The sequence below is a fragment of the Homo sapiens genome, chromosome 19, assembly GCF_000001405.40.
Source record: "Homo sapiens chromosome 19, GRCh38.p14 Primary Assembly".
Taxonomy (NCBI): domain Eukaryota; kingdom Metazoa; phylum Chordata; class Mammalia; order Primates; family Hominidae; genus Homo; species Homo sapiens.
The window spans coordinates 45523367-45544648 of NC_000019.10; the positions used below are offsets into that span (position 1 = coordinate 45523367).

General features: G+C 48.5%; 2 protein-coding genes and 1 long non-coding RNA gene across 6 annotated transcripts in view, besides 1 other annotated feature; 1 reads left to right on the plus strand and 2 right to left on the minus strand.

Moving 5' to 3' along the window:
* Nucleotides 1-947, minus strand: part of LOC107985315 (uncharacterized) — a 3364-nt gene extending 2417 nt beyond the window's left edge. Inside the window, exon 1 of the long non-coding RNA XR_001753959.1 lies at nucleotides 911-947. This is a non-coding gene — a long non-coding RNA (uncharacterized LOC107985315). The remainder of the gene's footprint in view (nucleotides 1-910) is intronic.
* Nucleotides 1-3617, plus strand: part of VASP (vasodilator stimulated phosphoprotein) — a 19505-nt gene extending 15888 nt beyond the window's left edge. For 2 of the 4 annotated variants that reach the window (NM_003370.4, XM_005259199.3), the window contains exons 8-13: nucleotides 278-329; nucleotides 475-511; nucleotides 731-776; nucleotides 1204-1294; nucleotides 2580-2637; nucleotides 2774-3617. In NM_003370.4, the coding sequence (NP_003361.1) occupies nucleotides 278-329; nucleotides 475-511; nucleotides 731-776; nucleotides 1204-1294; nucleotides 2580-2637; nucleotides 2774-2811 (322 nt within the window). In that variant the 3' untranslated portion in view covers nucleotides 2812-3617. The remainder of the gene's footprint in view (nucleotides 1-277; nucleotides 330-474; nucleotides 512-730; nucleotides 777-1203; nucleotides 1295-2579; nucleotides 2638-2773) is intronic. The other 2 variants (XM_005259200.3, XM_017027200.3) reach the window with 1 other exon arrangement.
* Nucleotides 385-504: a silencer, noted in NCBI's record as "silent region_10780". NCBI's record gives its function as "represses an Ori minimal core promoter by ATAC-STARR-seq in GM12878 lymphoblastoid cells {active_cell/tissue: GM12878}" and the evidence as "EXISTENCE:reporter gene assay evidence [ECO:0000049][PMID:35858748]".
* OPA3 (outer mitochondrial membrane lipid metabolism regulator OPA3) overlaps nucleotides 4061-21282 on the minus strand; it is a 57376-nt gene continuing 40154 nt past the window's right edge. The window contains exon 2 of the mRNA NM_001017989.3: nucleotides 4061-6090. Within this exon, the coding sequence (NP_001017989.2) occupies nucleotides 5690-6090 (401 nt within the window). The 3' untranslated portion in view covers nucleotides 4061-5689. The remainder of the gene's footprint in view (nucleotides 6091-21282) is intronic.

The following is a 21282-nucleotide window of genomic DNA, read 5'->3' on the forward strand; positions in this document are numbered from 1 at the left end:
TAATTTTTGTATTTTTAGTAGACACAGGATTTCACCATGTTGGCCAGGCTGGTCTTGAACTCTTGACCTCAAGAGATCCACCTGCTTCAGCCTCTCAAAGTGTTGGCATTACAGGCCACTGCGCCCAGCACAATCTCTTGAATTTCTAAAACTAGAGTTTCCTTAGGTTTTCGGAGTTCCAGAATTCTATGCGCTAGGATCTACATTTCTAGAACTCCCCTCAGAAGGGGATGGGTTGGGTGACGGAAGCACGTGTTTTTGCTTTTCTCTCCTGCAGAAGGAAAGCCACGCAAGTTGGGGAGAAAACCCCCAAGGATGAATCTGCCAATGTAAGTCAGGGACTCTTCTTGCCCTACATCTCTTAGGCCGTACCATGAGGGTAGGGATAGTGGGATGTGTGGGGTTTGAACCTGAAAGAGGAAATGGGCAGAGGTGTGGCAGGGGCTGGCTCATGGCAGTTTTATTTCCTACCAGCAGGAGGAGCCAGAGGCCAGAGTCCCGGCCCAGAGTGGTGAGTAGAGTGCCCAGTCCAGCCACAGGAACTACAAATCCCAGAATACTCTGTTCTCACATGTTAAGCACCCTTATAGGAGAGTCAGGGCGAATGGTGCTGGGGATTGTAGTCTCCTGAGATGGGGCTTTGATCAGGGGCTGATGAGGTTGGGGGAGTAAGATTGATTGGGGGGCAGTCTTTTGTCCCTGATCTTTCTGATTTCTTGCCTATCCCCAGAATCTGTGCGGAGACCCTGGGAGAAGAACAGCACAACCTTGCCAAGGTAGGCCATCGGTCCTGGGGCCCTTGGGGAGGTAAAGGCGGGCAGATCGCTTGAGCCCAGGAGGTCAAGACCAGCCTGGGCAACATGGCGACACCCCATCTCTACAAAAATTAGCCAGGCGTGGTAGCACTTACCTGTGGTCCCAGCTACTCAGGAGGCTGAGGTGGGAGGATTACTTGAGCCCAGGAAGTTGAGGCCTCAGCGAGCCATCATCATGCCTGCACTCCAGCCTGAGAAATAGAATGTGACTGTCTCAAAACAAAACACAACAAACCAAAACCAAAAAAAAAAAAAACTGGGGCCCCAAAAATACTTGGACTTGCCCAATTTATAAGGCAGAGCTCAATGTGACCCCTGGAATAGGAGGCGGGGAAGCAGGTCCTCTCTCTAATCTCATTGCTGTCCCAAACCACACCAACTCCCCCAGGATGAAGTCGTCTTCTTCGGTGACCACTTCCGAGACCCAACCCTGCACGCCCAGCTCCAGTGATTACTCGGACCTACAGAGGGTGAAACAGGTAACTTGGGGGGGAAGTTGGGGACCACAGCAAGAGAGATCTAGGTCTGGCCCCTGCCACTGGCATGCCGTATGATCCTAGATAACATCTCAGAAACCTCAGGTTTCCAATCTGACAAATGGAGAAACTGGATTGGGTCAAGGATGACCGAGACTCCACACCCCCTTTTCTGGCACCTGTGACAGACATTATTAATCTATCACCGCGCTCATTCCAGATGAGTGCCTTGAATTCTTTCCGCACATTGACCCAGCTGTCCATCACCAATTGGAGTTGGCAGGAGGCTGGAATGCGCTTGCCAACCTTGGTACTGGATGTTCTCCAGTACTTTTCCGGCTCCAAGGATCCAGAATTCTCCCCTAGAATCCTCCAGTCACTCTGCGACCTTGACAGCGATGTCATGGTGTCGATGTAGGGGTAGGTCTCAAACCTACTACCCCTGGCTTTTCCATCAACAAGAAAGAGGGGACTCTGGCAGGGCACGGTGGCTCATGTGTGTAATTTCAGCACATTGCGAGGCTGAGGTGGGAGCATTGCTTGAGGCCAGGAGTTTGAGACCAGCCTGGGGCAACATCGGGAGACCCCCATCTCTAAAAATAACTTTTAAAAGTTACCTGAGAAGGCCAGGTGCGGTGGCTCATGCCTGTAATCCCAGCACTTTGGGAGGCCGAGGTGGGTGGATCACCTGAGGTCAGGGGTTCAAGACCAGCCTGGCCAACATGGTGAAACCCATCGCTACTAAAAATACAAAAATTAGGCTGGGAATGGTGGCTCACAGCCATAATCCCAGCAGTTTGGAAGGCTGATGGGGACGGATCACGTGAAGTCAAAAGTTCGAGACCAGCCTGGCCAACATGGCGAAACCCTGTCTCTACTAAAAATACAAAAATTAGCTGGGCCTTGTGGGGGGCACCTGTAATCCAGTTATTTGGGCGGCTGAGGCAGGAGAATCGCTTGAACCCGGGAGCCAGAGATTGCAGTCAGCCGAGATTGGGCCACTGCACTGCAGTCTGGGTGACAGGGAGACTCTGTTTCAAAAAAAAAAAGAAAAAGAAAAAGTTACCTGATTGTGGCGGCAGGTGACTGTGGTCCCAGCTACTTGGGAGGCTAAGGCAGGAGGATTACCTGAGCCTGGGAAGTTGAGGCTGCAATGAGCTGTGATCATGCCATTGCACCCTAGCCTGGGCAACAGAGCAAGGTTCCTTCTCAAAAAATAAAAGAAGGGGGATTCATTCCTGCAAGTCCCGGTACCCCCTCCTGATTAGTTTTACCCCATTAATTTTAGGAGCTTCTGGAAGAGGTGAAGAAGGAATTGCAGAAAGTGAAAGAGGAAATCATTGAAGGTGAGGTGGTTTGCTTTGGTTTTGTTCTTAAACATTTACTTATTTTGGAGGCATCATGTCCCTGGGCAAGAGCCCTGTTTTGGAAGGGAGGAGGCAGAGACTCTGCCCCTGACCTCTGCTCCTTGTTTCCTTCCAGCCTTCGTCCAGGAGCTGAGGAAGCGGGGTTCTCCCTGACCACAGGGACCCAGAAGACCCGCTTCTCCTTTCCGCACACCCGGCCTGTCACCCTGCTTTCCCTGCCTCTACTTGACTTGGAATTGGCTGAAGACTACACAGGAATGCATCGTTCCCACTCCCCATCCCACTTGGAAAACTCCAAGGGGGTGTGGCTTCCCTGCTCACACCCACACTGGCTGCTGATTGGCTGGGGAGGCCCCCGCCCTTTTCTCCCTTTGGTCCTTCCCCTCTGCCATCCCCTTGGGGCCGGTCCCTCTGCTGGGGATGCACCAATGAACCCCACAGGAAGGGGGAAGGAAGGAGGGAATTTCACATTCCCTTGTTCTAGATTCACTTTAACGCTTAATGCCTTCAAAGTTTTGGTTTTTTTAAGAAAAAAAAATATATATATATTTGGGTTTTGGGGGAAAAGGGAAATTTTTTTTTCTCTTTGGTTTTGATAAAATGGGATGTGGGAGTTTTTAAATGCTATAGCCCTGGGCTTGCCCCATTTGGGGCAGCTATTTAAGGGGAGGGGATGTCTCACCGGGCTGGGGGTGAGATATCCCCCCACCCCAGGGACTCCCCTTCCCTCTGGCTCCTTCCCCTTTTCTATGAGGAAATAAGATGCTGTAACTTTTTGGAACCTCAGTTTTTTGATTTTTTATTTGGGTAGGTTTTGGGGTCCAGGCCATTTTTTTTACCCCTTGGAGGAAATAAGATGAGGGAGAAAGGAGAAGGGGAGGAAACTTCTCCCCTCCCACCTTCACCTTTAGCTTCTTGAAAATGGGCCCCTGCAGAATAAATCTGCCAGTTTTTATAAATGCTAAGATCTCTGGAGTGATTTGAAGGCCTGTTCTGATGGGGATGGAGGTGTGCTCGGCCCCCGGTGCCCCTCCAGGAAGATTTGGTCCTCTGCTGAGAACCCCTGCCTCCTCCCAGGAATCCACCTTCCCTTCATCTTCCTTCCCACCCTGCATATTGCGCCTGCTCACTCATCCTCAGGCCCGCAGCCAGGATGATCTCTGCCCCCTCCAGCCTCCCTCCCCATGCCCCTTAGGAGGCCACTTCCTCCCCATCCCACCCTGCCCTTCACCACCCTAGGGGAGGCCAGAAGCAGCCTCACTTTGTGTAGCCTTGGGCAAGTCCATTTGCTTACCTCAGGCCTCAGTTTCTGATTTGGGAAAGGGCTCATAAGATGATTCTCTGCCCCCACTCTACCACTCTCCCAGCTTCTTTCCTCTTTTTTTTTTTTTTTTTTTTTAATGAGTTGGAGTCTTGCTCTTTCACCCAGTCTGGAGTGTAGTGGCAGGATCACAGCTCACTGCAGCCTTGAACTCCTGGGCTCAAGGGATCCTCCTGCCTCAGCCTCCCAAGTAGCTGGAACTACAGGCGTTTGGTATGACGCCTAGCTAATATTTTCATTTTTCGTAGAGATGCGGTCTTGCTGTGTTGCCTAGGTTGGTCTCTAACTCCTGGCCTCCAGCAGTCCTCCTGCTTTGGCCTCTTAAAGTGCTGGAATTACAGGCGTGAGCCACTGTGTCCGGCCTTCTTTCCTAATTTCAATGACATTTTGCAGACGCACATTATGGTTCTCAGACACGTTCTTAAGATCTTTACCCCAGAGCTCCTTTAATTAGAAAACGCTGACAGTCGATTTATAAAGTAGCATTCAGAGTCACAGAGCTCATCCACGCCCCCTTCAGTTGTCGGGTGGGTAGGTCATATGGCCTGGTGGAATACCCCGCTTGGACAGGGGGACCTCTGGGCTGAGGGACAGGTAGTCCCCCTGGAGGAGGCCTTTGCGTGAAGGAGGGCGGAGGAGGACCTGGACCAGTCCAAAGGCAGGAAGGAAGGGCGATCCCTGCGTACCGTGAGGGGCAGATTTGGAGGGAAGTTGGGCGAACTGACGATGACTTAGGTAGTAAAGGGACAGGCCGGTCCCTAGCAAAGGCAACTGAAGAGGACAGCGAGGGAGGACCGGATAAAAGGACAGTAGCAGTAGGTCCAGGACTGGGGACTGGTGACCAAGTGACTGAGCCTGAAAGCCAGAATGGACTAGCCCTGGTCAAGACCGGTTTTTCCTCCCAAAAGGCCACGTCCTGCTGGAACAGACCACAGAATGCCGGGCTGGGAGGCGTTTCCCTGGAAGACCCAGCATAGCCATGCCAGTGGGGTGCGCCATAGGTGGAAGAAGAGGGGGGTTATGTTGGATCGATCCACTCAGGGAGGGGAGGATGTCAATGACAGGTACTAAGATGGATTAAGGTCAGGAGCCGCAGGGTGGTGACTCATTGGAGCTAACGCAGTCCAGGATTCACCCCCACCTTTCCCCCTAAGACTGAGGTAGATGGAAGGGGGCGGGTCGGGAAGTCCGTAGGAACTTTGTGCATCTTTACAATGGTCTGTACCAATGAGGAGGAGGTAGGTGGTGTTCGGTGCAAAGGATGAGCGTCCTAGGGGAAGGGTCCACTCAGGTGAGTGAGGGTGCGGGTGACAGAATGAGAGGTGGCTAAATCCGGGTGCAGAATTTTGTTTTGCCAAAAGAGGTGGACGTCCTGCTGGCCTACCTAGCGGTAGGGAGGTGGGGTCTGATAAAAGACGCTGTCTTTCCAAAGTGCTCAACAAATGCGCTGGCAGGGGCGGGGTGGGATAGGGCGGGGTCCTTCTTGGAACGTTCCACCTGCAGGAGGCGGAGAGTCCCAGTGGAAGGTACCACTGGGCAGGTTAGTAGGGAGGTTCGATCAGCTCCAGCCCAGGATCTCTCCGGCGCCCCCGAAGGACTGGGTGGTGTCAGCTGGGCCGGTCCAGGATGGGACAGTGCGGAGAATAGGCCAAGACAGAGACTTCGCAGTCCAGACAGCAGTCACCTCCAAGACCAGGGCCCCGAGACCTCCTATTTCTCGGACGCCGGCGCAACTGGGGGTGCAGGCGGCGGGTCTCGGAGGCAGAGGTGGGCTCGCACCTCCTGCAGCTGAGCGCGCAGCTCCTCCAGGGCGAGCTGCGTCGACGTCGCCTGCACCTGCGCCTGCAACTCCTCGAGCGCCAGCCCCAAGTGGCCCACCTCGCCCCGCAGCGCCTCCCTGGCAACACGTCGCTCCTTTTCCTTGCGGCGCTGCTGCAACTGGTGGCGCCAATACTCCAGCATCAGGCAGCTGCAGGCGGTGATGAAGATGATGCCCTCGCCCAGCAGCTCCGCGCCCAGCTCGGCGGCTGCACCCTCGTTCAGCGGCTTGATGGCAGCGGCATTGAAACCCATGATGCGCATTTTGGTCCGCATCTCCAGCCAGTGGTACACTGCAGGAAAAGACAGGAGTCAGGGGTCTTTTGCAGGGCAGCCTCCTATAAGCCCCGACCCTCTGTGCTTCGATGTCCCCGTTGTAGCAATGGGGATGTGGTCACCACAATCGGACGCGTGCTGGCGGGGACGCCTTAACGAAGACAAGTGCAGGCCTCACACCCAGAATCCTCTAGGGAAAACTTCCTTAACTAATGACTTACTCATGTGAAGGTGGAGTGTCAGCTTTTGCATCGTTATAAACACAGAAGATGCTGATGCTCTTTTTTTTTCTTTAATTTTTCTTTTTTTGAGCCAGGGTTTCGCTCTATCGTCCAGGCTGGAGTGCAGTGCCGAAATCACAGCTTACTGCAGCCTCGAACTCCTGGGCTCAAGCGATCCTCCTCCCGCCTCAGCCTCCAGAGTAGCTGGGACAACGTGTGCGCGCCATCATGCCTGGCTAATTTTTTAATTTTTTGTAGAAATGGGGGCTCCTTGCGTTGCCCAGGCTGGTCTCGAACTCCTGGGCTCAAGCGACCCTCCTGCCAAAGCCTCCCAAAGTGCTGGGACTGCAGGTGTGAGCCACGGAGCGCGGCCCTGAGGCTAACTCTTAATTCCATCAATAATTCATACTTCGCTGGGCGCGGTGGCTCATGCCTGTAATCCCAGCACTTTGAGAGGCCGAGGTGGGTGGCTCAGTTGAGATCAGGAGTTTGAGACCAGCCTGGCCAAGACGGTGAAACCCCGTCTCTACTAAAAATACAAAAATTAGCCGGGCGTGATAGCGCGTGCCTCTAATACCAGCTACTCTGGAAGTTGAAGCAGGAGAATCGCTTGAAACAGGGAGGCAGAGGCTGCAGTGAGCCGAGATCATGCCACTGTACTCCAGCCTGGGAGACAGAGCGAGACTCCATCTCAAAAAAAAAATAAAATTGTAACTTGATTTTTCACTGCACTCCCCCTCAACCCCATGAACTATATGGAATTCATCACATATTCTATCTCCTTCCCTCTCCCCTCCCAATTTTTACAAGTGGTTTTTATTTTTTTACTGTTTATTTTTATTTATGTATGTATGGTTTTTTTTTATTGAGACGGGGTCTTGCTCTGTTGCCCAGGCTGTAGTGCAGTGACACTATCTCAGCTCACTGCAACCTCCACCTCCCAGGTTCAAGTGATTTCCAACTAATTTTTGTATTTTTACTAGAGACGGGTTTTCACCATCTTGGCCAGGCTGGTCTCAAACTCCTGACCTCAAGTGATCCGCCTGCTTCAGCCTCCCAAAGTGCTAGGATTACAAGCATGAGCCACCATGCCCAGCCTTTATTTATTTATTTATTTTCGAGACAGAGTCTCGGTCTGTCCCCCAGGCTGGAGTGCAGTGGTGTGATCTTGGCTCGCTGCAGCCTCTGCCTCCCAGATTCAAGCCATTCTGGTGGCTTAGCCTCCCAAGTAGCTTGGTTCAATGGCGTGTGCCACCATGTCACCTACTTTTTTTTTTTTTTTTTTTTTTTTTTTTTTTTTTTGCATTTTAGTAGAGACAGGGTTTCACTACGTTGGTCAGGCTGGTCTCGAACTCCTGGCCTCAAGTGATCCACCCGCCTCAGCCTCCCAAAGTGCTGGGATTACAGGCATGAGCTACCACACCCAGCCTATTTTTTTTTACTGTTTATTGGTAACCTATGTAATTGCTTTGTGCAATGCTTTGTGCTGCCTGAAATTGAAAATATAGACCATGTAAAATATGGAGGTTATGGAAATATTAATCCTGTAGATCCATAATGAAGATGTATTTTTATTTCACTAAACCAGTGGCATGTGAAGCATTATCATTAAATGCCAGCTGGACTCACTGCTTCGTATCGTGCCACATTTTCATTTTCTTTTATTTCAACTTTGACGTTACTGTATGAAGGTTTTAGTTTTTCCTAGAATGATGATTCTCAAACTAACTATGTGACCCACAAAAATTTACCATGGGACCAAGATCATCCAGATGTTTGCTCCTATTCTGTTTATTAAATAAACAGTTGTGGACACACTAGCTGTTCTCTGGGCTGCTGCAGGACTGTCCTCCTTCATACTGCTCCTCCTCTTTTGAGGAACTTGCATCCTCTTTGTTGAATTTCATTCTAGTTTTCCTGGAGTATATCCCTAGATACCTTTTGCAGAAAGGGTGCTTGGTATCTCAGTGTTTTGAATCCTTGAATATCTGAAATATCTTTTTCCACCTTCACATTAGATGAGATGATAAATTCTAGCCCCAGAATGACTAGTTCGAAATCCTATTCCTCAGCAGTTTGGTGGCCTGGTTCCACGATGTGTAAAGGCAGAGGGGCTTGTTGTCATCCCTGTGGCACTGACATTGCACCAAGATGAATGTTTTTCTTATTCCCCTTAAACTCTTCTATCTTCTATCCAAATCCCGTTTCTCTCTTTAGCCCTTCGAATTTTTCTTGTCTGCTCAGTAAAGGATTAACTTCATCCAAATAGAGGTCTGACCTTTGCCTTTTACTCCTGGGAGGTAATTTTTTAGTTCTTGGAATGTCCAGCCTGAGTTTACATGGGGCCTTGGGCCACACCATATGGTTTGTGCTAACAGTGGTGATTTATGGTGGGGGCTTTGGGCCATGTGATATCAGCTTAACCTCTGGAGGGGCTAGAATCTAAGGGGAGCCACACAAGTGGTCAGCCTTATCCACATGCTGATCCCTATTAAAAACCCTGGACACCAAGGCTCAGGTAGGCTTCCCTGGTGGGTGACATCATGTCACTTATCATTGCTGGGAGAAGTTAGTGCTGTCCACAACTGTACCAGGTATTAAATTGGCACTTGGAACTCTCCTGGACCCATGGACCTCTTCCCTGGGCTGCTTTTAATCTGATTCTTTTCACTGTAATGAGCCACAACCATGAGAATAACTGATCCTAGTGAGTTCTGTGAGTCTTTCTAGCAAATTACTGAAACTGATGGTGATCTTAGAGACTCCTGAGCTTGCAGTCAATGACAGAAGTGAGGGTGGTCTTGGTGACCCCCTAAATGTGTGTCTTATCTGTTGCCTCCTCTCCATTTTCTCCTACCCTTCTCCTACCCCTTCCCAGTCTGGAACGCCACCCTGCACTGATCTCCTCACTTTCCCTTCCTGTTTTTTTCCATTGCTCCTTTTTGTTACACCACTGGGAGGTTTTGTTGACTTTCAGAACTTATTTTTTCCCCCTAATTTTCAGTCTTTATTTAAAATTTGATTATAAAATATCCAAACATACAGGGAAGTTTAGTGTCCATTCGGCTTTAAAATTATTTTATTTTATTTTATTTTTTAATAGAGATGGGGTCTCACTATGTTGTCCAGCCTTGTCTCAAACTCCCAGCCTCAAGCAATCCTCCCACCTCAGCCTCGTAAAGTGCTGATTGCAGGCATGAGCCACTGTGCCCAGCCCTAGGATGATTTTTATTTTTTAAATTTTTTTTGAGATGGAGTTTTGCTCTTCTCCCCCAGGCTGGAGTGCGATGACACCATCTCGGCTCACTGCAACCTCTGCCTCCCAGGCTCAAGCGATTCTCCTGCCTCAGCCTCCCGAGTAGCTGGGATTACAGGCATGCACCACCATGCCCGGATATTTTTGTATTTTTAGTAGAGATGGGGTTTCACCATGTTGGTCAGGCTGGTCTCGAACTCCCAACCTCAAATGATCCACCTGCCTTGGCCTCCCAAAGTGCTGAGATTACAGGCATGAGCTACTGCATCTGGCCAGGATGATTTTTCTTTTTTTTTTAAGGCGGAGTCTCACTCTGACGCCCAGGCTGGAGTGCAGTGGCGCATCTCTGCTCACTGCAAGCTCCGCCTCCTGGGTTCAAGCCATTCTCCTGCCTCAGCCTCCCGAGTAGCTGGGACTACAGGCATTTGCCACTATGCCCGGCTAATATTTTGTATTTTTAGTAGAGATGGGGTTTCACCAAGTTAGCCAGAATGGTCTCGATTTCCTGACCTCATGATCTGCCCGCCTTGGCCTCCCAGAGTGCTGGGATTACATGCGTGAGCCACCGCGCCCAGCTGAATGTAGCTAATTTTTAAATAATCAGGAGACACCTTGTGCTACAGATGTACGTTGTTTCCTTTTACCCTATACCTTTGAGGCCGGTACTTAAACATCAGCCGGATCCTAATCCAGGAGAGGTCAGTTCACCAGTAAGTCCGTACTCCAGGGCAGGCCAGGCCAGGCCAGGCCAAGCTTCTGTTGGTTGAATGCAAAGCATGGTGAGGTGTGTGAATTCACTTCAGTCTCCTATGGGAGGGGCCCTCTTGGTGGCCCTGGATGGGCAGGGTCAAGGTGAAAACCCAGGGATTGGTTTCACAAGGTTGAACAAGCGGCTCCGTCCTGGGCAGGCTCCATGCTTCTCCCCGAAAGAAGGCACCATAGCCACCATTAAGCAGTGGGCAGGTTGTTGCCTCTGACTCTGGCCTGGAGACAAGTCAGTTCAGTCCATGTGAATTCTAGTATCAGTTTGTCAGTTTGCACACACATGCACATGCACAAATATACAAACACACACCTTTTGGCATAGAATTGGGATTGACTTGAATCTATAAATCAGTTTATAAGATGATATCTTTACAATATTGAACCTTCCAATTGAAGGAATCCACAGCTTTGGCACAAAGATTATTTTACAGTGAAAACACTTGTAATGTTATCTACACTCCTCTTATTGGACTAAAGGAGAGCCTCCTGAAAATACAACTGCCATTAACCCCCTCCAAGGGAGTTTTCTGCGAATTCCAGGAAGGAGACAGACTGTCCATCTCTTTTAGTGTTAAAAATCACACAGGAAAGCAATAGAGGCCAGGCGCTGTGGCTCATGCCTGTAATCCCAGCACTTTGGGAGGCTGAGGTGGGTGGATGACCTGAGGTCAGGAGTTCCAGACCAGCCTGGCCAACCTAATTAAACCCCATCTCCACTAAAAATACAAAACTTAGCCAGGCATGGTGGTGGGTGCCTGTAATCCCAGTACTTTCGAGGCTGAAGCAGGAGAATTGCTTGAACCTGGGAAGTGGAGGTTGTAGTGAGCCAAGATCATGCCATCACACTCCAGCCTGGTGACAAGAGCAAAACTCTGTCCCAAAAAAAAAAAAAAAAAAAAAGTCAAGTAAAGAAAACAATAGAACTATCCATACTTTTCCACTGAACCCCTTTTTCTTTTTCTTTTTTTTGAGATGGAATCTTGCTCTGTTGCCCAGGCTGGAGTGCAGTGGCGTGATCTCAGCTCACCACAACCTCCGCCTCCCAGGTTCAAGCGATTCTCCTGCCTCAGCCTCCCGAGTAGCTGGGACTACAGGCACGCGCCACCATGCCCGGCTAATTTTTGTATTTTTAGTAGAGACGGGGTTTCACTATGTTGGTCAGGCTGGTCTTGAACTCCTGACCTCGTGATCCCCCAGCCTCGGCCTTCCAAAATGCTGGGATTACAGGTGTGAGTCACTGCATCCAGCCTGAACTCCTTTTTCTTAAGTTGGTAAATAAACCTTTACTTCCAGCTATTCAATGAGTTACTCATTACAGAGTTCCCTTGCCTAATGTGTAAATAAAGTTTTTCTTTCCACGTGTTGATCTGTCTATTGTTAATTAATTTGCAGGTTCCCAACAACAGGGATCTAGATTGGTAGAGGAAAAGATTTTCCTGTCAATGCAATCCATGAACATGGTATTCTCTTCATTTAGGTCTTTAAGAAATTTATCTCAATAATGTTTTGTAGTTTACAGAATAGATATCTTGCATGTAAATTCAGTTTATTCCTATGTATTAGATATTTTGATACTATTTTGATGGCAACATTTCAAATTTCATTTTCTATTTGTTTGTTGCTGGTACTGATGATAGGAATAAACTGATTTCCGTACCTTATATGCAGTGATCTTGATAAATTATTACTTTTTTTTTTTTTTTTTTTTGAGATAAGGTCTCATTCTGTCACCCAGGCTGGAGTGCAGTGGTGCAATCATAGCTTACTGCAGCCTCAAGTGATCCACCTACTTCAGCCTCCTGAGTAGCTGGGACTGCAGGGACACAACACCATGCCTGGCTAATTTTTGTAATTTTCTGTAAAGACAGGGTTTCGCCATGTTGTTCAGGCTGGTCTCGAACTCCTGGGCTCAAGCGATCCAACTGCCTTGACCTCCCAAAGTGCTGGGATTACAGGCATGAACCGCCATGCCCAGCCTAATTAGTTCTTATTCTTCTTAGTCATATAATTTGTTTATAAATTATTTTAATTGTACATATACACTTTAATTGTTTGAACATAATAACTGTTTTTTTCTTTTCTTTTTTTTTTTTTTTTTTAAGAGTTGAGGTCTCACCCTGTCACCCAGGCTGGAGTGCAATAGCACAATTATAGCTCACTATAGCCTTGATCTCCTGAGCTCAAGAGATTCTCTCACCTCAGCCTCCTGAGTAGCTGGGACTAAAGGTGCCTGCTGCCACACCCTGCTAGAAACTGGTTTTCTTGCCGGGTGTGATGGCTCATGCCTGCAACCCCAGTACGTTGAGAGGCCAAGGTAGGCGGATCACCTGAGGTCAGGAGTTCGAGACCAGCCTGGCCAACATGGTGAAACCCTGTCTCTACTGAAAAAATTAAAAAATTAGCCAGGTGTGGTGGCATGCACCTGTAATCTCAGCTACTCAGGAGGCTTAGGAAGGAGAATTGCATGAACCCAGGAGGTGGAGGTTGCAGTGAGCCGAGATCACACCACTGCACTCCAGCTGGATGACACAGCAAGACTCTATCTCAAAAAAAAAAAAAAAAATTAAAAAAAAAAATGTGGGCCGGGCACGGTGGCTCATGCCTGTAATCCCAGCACTCTGGGAGGCTGAGGCAGGCGGATCACATGAGGTCAGGAGTTTGAGACCAGCCTGGCCAACATGGCAAAACCCCGTCTCTACTAAAAATACAACAAAAAATTAGCCAGGCATGGTGACGGGTGCCTATAATCCCAGCTACTAGGGAGGCTGAGGCAGGATAATTGCTTGAACTTTGGAGGCAGAGGTTGCAGTAAGTCAAGATCGTGCCACTGCACTCCACTCTTGGCGACAAGAGTGAAACTCTGTCTCAAAAAAAAAAAAAAAAGTGTATGGAAACACAAAGGGCCAAGAATAGTAATACTGAAGAGAAAAACTGGAGACCTTACACTACCAGATATAAAGCTATCATAAAGCTATAATCATCAAAACAGGGTGGCATTTCCACATGAATAGACAGGCCAGTGGTAAAGCGTAGAGAATCCAGAAATATTCACACATGCACAGTCATATGACTTGTGACGAAAGTGACACTGTAGTGCAGTGGGAAAAGAATGGACTTTTTAAGACACGTTGGATCACTTGAATATTCACAGAGAAAAAAATAAACCTTAACATCTACCTCACATAATACACAAAAATTAATTCCACAGGGATTGTAGATCAAAATATGATAGACACAAAAATAACACTTTTAGAAAAAAAAAGTAGGAGGCTGGGTGTACTGGCTCATGCCTATAAACTGTGCTTTGGAAGGCCAAGGTGGGAGGATTGCTTCAGAGAAGGGGTTCAAGACCATACTGGGCAACATGGTGAAACCCCATCTCTACAAAAAATAAAAAATTAGCCCGGTATGCTGGTGCACCTGCCACCATGCCAGGCTAATTTTTAAAAAACTTTTTAGTAGAGATGGGGTTTCGCCATGTTGGTCAGGCTTGTCTCGAACTTGTTTTTTGTTTGTTTGTTTTTTGAAATGGAGTCTCGCTCTGTCGCCCAGGCTGGAGTGCAATGGCGCAACCTCAGCTCACTGCAACCTCCGCCTCCCAGCTACTCAGCAGGCTGAGCGAGGAGGATCACTTAAGCCCGAGAGTTGAAGGCTGTAATGAGTTGTGATGGTGCCACTGCACTCCAGCCTGGATGACAGAGCAAGACTCTGTCTCAAAAAAAAAAAAAAAAAAAAAAAAAACAAGAAAAGAACTTTCATTCTTCAAAAGACACCAGCAAGAGAGGGAAAAGGCAAATCATAGACTGGAAGAAGCCATTTGCAATACATCAATCTGACAAATAACTCAAATTTAGGACATACAGATACCTCCTGCCAATCAAAAGGGGAAGGGTAGAGAACCTAGTGGAGAAGGACTTGACTCACAAAAGAGGATGGTATCTTTTTCTTTTCTTTTATTTTCTTTTTTTGAGATGGAGTTTCGCTCTTGTTGCCCAGGCTGGAGTGCAGTGGTGCGATCTCGGCTCACTGCAACCTCTGCCCTCCGGTTTCAAGCGATTCTCCTGCCTCAGCCTCCCGAGTGCCAGAGCAGGGAGGGAGAATGACGAGACTAAACTGTAGCTTCAGCTTTCTCTCTTTAAAAACCAAAGCAAAGAGGACAAAATGTTCATTTCTATTAATTCTAAGTGGTGGGTACAAGGTTATTCATTATATTGTTTTCTGTATGTCTGCAATATTTCATAATATATATGTTTTCAATAAAAATTAGCTGGGTGTGGTGGTGTGTGCCTGTAGTCCCAGCTACTCAGGAGGCTGAGGCGGGAGGACTGCCTGAATTCAGGAGGTGCAGGTTGCAGGTTGCAGTGAGCTGAGATGGTACCACTGCACTCCAGCCTGGAGGACAGAGCTAGGCTCCATATCAAAAAAAAAAAAAAAAATGCCACCTGAAAAAAAAAAAAAAAAGATTCTAGCTAGCTATGGAGTCTCACACCTGTAATCCCAGCACTTTGGGAGATCAAGGTAGGAGGATTGCTTGAGACCAGGAATTTGAGGGCAACATAGTGAAACCCCATCTTCACACACGCACACAAAATAGCTGGGTGTGGTGGTGTATGCCTGTGGTCCCAGCTCATCAGGAGGCTGAGGGGGGAGGATTGCTTGAGCCTGGAAGATCAAAACTGCAGTGAGCTGTGATTGCACTACTGCACTACATCCTGGGCAAAAGAGTGAGTCCCTATCTCAAGAAAAAAGCAAGTGAGGCCAGGCACGGTGTCTTACACTTGTAATCCCAGCATTTGTGGGAGGCCGAGGTGGGCAGATCACTTGAGGTCAGAAGTTCGAGACCAGGCTGGCCAACATGGTGAAACTACCTGTCTCTACTGAAAATACAAAAATTAGCCAGGTGTGGTGGCGTGTGCCTGTAATTCCAGTTACTTGGGAGGCTGAGGCAAGAGAATTCCTTGAACCTGGGAGGCGGAGGTTGCAGTGAGCCAAAATTGTGCCATTGCACTCCAGCCTGGGCAAAAAAGTGAGACTCCGTCTCAAAAAAAAAAAAAAGAAAAGATGCTCAACACATTAGTTAGTAGAGCAATACAAGTCAAATTCACAATGAGATGCCATTTCCCAGCCACTGGAATGGCTATAGTCAAAACAGTGAACAACCACTAATGCTTCCAAAGTTTCTGTATTAGTCAGTTTTCACACAGCTATAAAGAAATTCCTGAGAATGGGTAATTATAAAGGAAAGAGGTTTAGTTGACTTACAGTTCTGAATGGCTGGGGAGGCCTCAGGAAACTTACAATCATGGCAGAAGGCAAAGGGGAAGCAGGCACCTCCTCACAAGGCAGCAGGAGGGAGAAGTGAAAGGGCAGGAAAAACTGCCATTTTAAAATTCATTAGATCTCATGAGAATTCACTCATTATCAGGAGAACAGCATAAGGGAAACCACCCCCATGATCACTTCCCTCCCTCAACACATGAGGATGACAACTCGAGATGAGATTTGGGTTGGGACACAGAGCCAAACTATATCAGTTGTAGGGTAACAAAACTCTCGCATGTCACTGGCGGAAATGTAAAATGGTGCAGCCACTTTGGAAAGTAGTTTGGCAGTTTCTTAAAAAGTTAAACATAGGCCAGGTGCAGTGGCTTACACACCTGTATTCCCAGCACTCTGGGAGGCTACTCATCGCTTGAACCCAGGAGTTCAAGACCAACCTGGGCAACATGGCGAAACCCCTTCTCTACAAAAACATCACAAAAAAGTTTTAATATTTTTATTTTTTCTGCCACGCTCGGCTAATTTCTGTATGTTTTGTAGAGATGAGGTCTCACTATATTGCCCAGGCTGGTCTCAAACTCCTGACCTCAAGCTATCCACCCACTTCTGTCTCCCAAAGTGCTGGGATTACAGGCATGAACACTACACCCAGCCAAAAAACACAAAAATTAGCCGGGCGTGGCGGTGCATGTCTGTAATCCCAGCTACTGGGCGGGGGTGGGGCTGAGGTTGCAGTGAGCAGACAGCGCGTCACTGCACTCCAGCCTGGGCGACAGAGCCAGACCTTGTCTCAAAAAAAAAAAAAAGGAATGAGATATTCATGCAATAAAATGGACCATGCATTGTATGACTCCATTTACATTAAATGTCCCAAATAATGCAATCTATTAAGGCAGAAAGTAGATCAGTGATTTTTAGGGGCTGAAGGAAGGAGAATGGAGAGTCACTGCAAATGAATGTGAGGGATCTTTTGGAGATGATGGAAATGTTCTGAAATTGGAATGTGGAGATGGTTGCATAACCATGTCAGTTTACTGAAAATCATCAAATCGTACTCTTAAAATGGGTGAGTTTCGGCCAGGCGCAGTGGCTCATGCCTGTAATCCCAGCACTTTGGGAGGCCGAGGCAGGTGGATCACGAGCTCAGGAGATTGAGAGCATCGTGGCCAACATGGTGAAACCCCGTCTCTACTAAAAATACAAAAATTAGCCGGGTGTGGTGGCGTGCACCTGTAGTCCCAGCTACTCGGGAGGCTGAGGCAGGAGAATCGCTTGAACCCAGGAGGCAGAAATTGCAGTGAGTCAAGATCGCACCACTGTGCTCCAGCCTGGGTGCCAGAGCGAGACTCTGTCTCAAAAAAAATAAAAAATAAAAAATAAAAAATAAAATAAAACAAAGGGTGAGTTTCATGGTGTGTAGATTATGCCTTGCTGTTTAAACAAACAAACCAGGCCAGGACACGGTGGCTCATACCTGTAGCCCCAGCTACTTGGGGGGTTGAAGTGGGAAGATCGCTTGAGCCTGGGAGGTTGAGGCTGCAGTGAGCTGTGACTGCACCACTGCACTGCAGCCTGGGTGACTGAGTAAGACCCTGTCTCAGAAAGAAAAAAAAAAAAAAAAAGGGGGCCAGGCACGGTGGCTCATACTAATCCCAGCACTTTGGGAGGCTGAGGCGGGCGGATCACCTGAAGTCAGGTGGGCGTGGTGACAGGCGCCTGCAATCCCAGCTACTTGGGAGGCTGAGGCAGGAGAATCACTTGAACCTGGGAGGCGGAGAATGCAGTGAGCCAAGATGGCACCACTGCACTCCAGCCTGGGTGAGAGAGAGAGACTCCGTCTCAAAAAAAAAACAAGCAAAAAAGCCAGAACACCGGGGTCCAGGACCTCTCTCACTGGAATTGGCAAATGCTGTCATGAATCATAGGCAGGATGGGTGGGGGTTCACAGTCTCTATGCTGGGCCCAAGTGGATCCCACCAAACTCAGGACCTCAGGAATGAATGTCTGTACTTCTGAGGTTTTTGATTTTCCAGCATCTAAACCCCTCTGTTGCATTGGGGAAGCGCCATTGCTGTTAGTCTGAGTCAGGAACAGCCTGCAACAGAAACTGGAGAAACCCATGGCTTCCCCATATGGGGACTGTTCTCCCACAACCAGAAGGCTGCCATACAATGTCACTGGGAACCCAGGCTCCTTCTCGTTCAATCCCTACCCTCCTCATTATGGGGCTTTTAGCCACATGCCCAAAAGATGCCTGCTGCCCCTCGGCATCACAGCCTCCTTCTACACAGGAGGTGAGGGCAGGGGGTGTCAGAGGAAGTGTGTGTCTAATCTGTCACTTTTTATGGAAAAGCCACTAGATTTTACAGAGCCCCCATGCCACATAGCCATCCTGTACTATAGGGGGGTCTGGGAGGTCCATTGTTCTTGACTGGATACAGAGTCACCCCTCATTTAATTGGGGCCTGGTGTAGCGGCTCAGGCTTGTAATCCCAGCACTTTGGGAGGCTGAGGCAGGAGGATCATCTAAGTCCAGAAGTTTGAGACTAGCCTGGGCAACACAGGGAGACCTGGTCTCTACTAAAAAATAAAACAAAATAAATAAGAGAAATTTTTTTTTGGAGAAAGAGTCTCAGTCTGTTAGCCAGGCTGGAGTGCAGTGGTGCAATGATGGCTCATTGCAGCCTCGACCTCCTGGGCTCAAGCAAACCTCCTGCCTCAGCCTCCTGAGTAGCTGGGACTATAGGCACACACCACCACACCTGGCGCATTTTAAAACATTTTATAGAAACAGGGTCTCACTATGTTTCCCAGGCTGGTCTTGAACTCCTGGGCTCAAGCGATCCTCCCACCTTGGCCTCCCAAAGTGCTGATATTACAGGTGTGAGCCACCACACCCAGCCTGAACCTGAAATCTTGGGGAAGGCTTCAAGGATACGAAGAGACCCCTAGGATCCATGTTAGGGTGTGGAGTAGGTCCACGGCAGTGGTAGGGGGTGGTACCCATGGTGCTGACAGCCCTCTGACCTTGGAGTCCCTGAGTGCTTCATGCTCGCTGCAACCCAACAGACAGGCTCCTTGCTGGGAAGTGGCTGCCCAGCCAGGGACTATAGTTAGGTGCAGTTAGGTGTGGTCAGGGCACCGAGTTCTAGGAAAAATAAGCCAGCCAAGTGAAGCCGGCTACTTCCAGCCCTGGTCCATATGAGCCATGCTGTGGTCCTCATGAAGACCACCCCAGGGTGACCTTGAAATAAACACACTGAAGATGGCAGAGCTGCAACAGCCTGAGTCCCTGAATGACTGTGTGGAGGAGGGCTGCCCTGCCAACCTGTTCCCGGCTAGTACAGCCGTGCACTGCTTAATGACAGGGACACATTCTGAGAAATGCATTGTTTGGTGATTTTGTCATTGTGCAAACATCACAGAGTGGGCTTACACGAACCTAGATAGTGTGGCCTGCTACACACCTAGGCTATGTGGTAGAGCTTTCTGCTCCTAGGCTATAAACCTAAACAGCATGTGACTGTACTGAAAATTGCAGGAGTTGTAACACAATGGTAAGTACTTGCGTGTCTAGACACATCCAAACATAGAAACGGTACAGTAAAAATACGGTGGTATCATTTTATGAGACCACTGTTGTATATGCGGTTTGTTGTGGACAGAAACCTCATTATGTGGTACAGTACTTCACTGTTTTTTTGTTTTTTTTTTTTTTTTTTTTTTTGAGACGGAGTCTCGCTCTGTCGCCAGGCTAGAGGGCAGGCAGTGGTGCGATCCTGGCTCACTGCAGCCTCCAACTCCCTGGTTCAAGTGATTCTCCTGCCTCAGCCTCCAGAGTAGCTGGGACTACAGGCACCTGCCACCACGCCTGGCTAATTTTAGTACTTTTAGTAGAGACAGGTTTCACCATGGTGGCCAGGATGGTCTCGATCTCCTGACCTCGCAATCTGCCCACCTTGGTTTCTCAAAGTGCTGGGATTACAGGTGTGAGCTATCATGCCCAGCGCGTGACTTCACTGTTTTGTCTTATTTTGTTTGTTTATTTATTTATTTATTTATTTTTGAGACAGGGTCTCACTCTGTCGCCCAGGCTGGAGTGCAGTGGCATGATCTCGGCTCACTGCAACCTCCAACTCTCCAGCTCAAGCAACCCACCCACCTCAGCCTCCCTCGTAGCTGGGACTACAGGAGCATGACACCATGCCTGACTAACTTTTGTATTTTTGAAGAAATAGCGTCTCTGTATATTGCCCAGGGGCTGGTCTCAAACTCCTGGGCTCACGTGATCCTCCAGCTTTGGCCTCCCTAAGTGCTGGGATTACAGGCATGAGCCACCACAACTGGCCTATTTTTATTTTTAATTTTTTTTTTTTTGAGACAGAGTCTCGCTCTGTTGCCCAGGCTGGAGTGCAGTGACGTGATCTCGGCTCACTGTAGCCTCCAACTCCTGGGTTTAAGTGATTCTCCTGCCTCAGCCCCCGGAGTACCTGAGATTACAGGCACACGCCACCACGCCTAATTTTTGCATTTTTAGTAGAGATGGAGTTTCACCACGTTGGTCAGGCTAGTCTCGAACTCCTGACCTCAAGTGATCTGCCCACCTTGGCCTCCCAAAGTACTGGGATTACAGGCGTGAGCCACTGCGCCCAGCTGTATTTTAATTTTTATAATTTATTTTTATTTGTAGAAGAGGAGTCTTGCTATGTTGCCCAGGCTGTTCTCTAACTCCTGAGCTCAAGCAATCCTCCCGCCTCAGCCTCCCAAAGTGCTGGGATTACAGGTGTGAACACTGCAACTGGCCAACGTTACTATTTTAGGAGCAAGAAGTAAACTCGTTCACTCAATATCATTACACATATGGGGTCTCTGTTACAGCATCGGCATCTCTAACTGTAAACCTCTCAAGGTTCCTGCTGGTTTTCTTAGCCTCCAGTGAGCTACCTGATATCCTTCCAGTAAGTTCTTTTTCTGCTTCAGTTAGCCCAGGAAGGTTCCTGTTGCTGGCAATGCAGAGTCATTTTGCAACCGTTCACTCTGTGCTAAGCAACTTCCTAAGTGTTTTGCATGTATTAATTGATTCACTTTCATAATAAACTTACAAAGGAAGTTCTGTTATCAGGCACAAGATACCCAGTGACTTGCCCAAGCTCATCCAACTGGTATGAGGCAGAGCTAGGGATTGATTCCAGGCATTTTGGGATCTGAGCCCATGCCCTTCCCATGATGCTTCACTGCTCTCGAGACAAATGATCTAAGCCTAAAAAGACTGCAAGCTACATGCACGTTCATAGCAGCCCTATTCATAGCCACCACGCGGAGGAAACAACCCCAACGTTCAACAGATGTATGAATAAACAAATTGTGGTCTAGCCTCACAATGGACTATTATTCAGCCATAAAAAGGGATGATGGGGGCGGGGCACGGTGGCTCACGCCTGTAATCCCAGCACTTTGGGACGGCAAGGCAGGCAGATCACCTGAGGTCGGGAGTTCGAGACCAGCCTGGCCAACACGATGAAACCCCGTCTCTACTAAAAATACAAAATTCGGCTGGGCACAGTGGCTCACGCCTGTAATCCCAGCACTTTGGGAGGCCGAGGCAGGTGGATCACCTGAGGTCGGGAGTTCGAGACCAGCCTGACCAACATGGAGAAACCTTGTCTCCACCAAAAACACAAAATTAG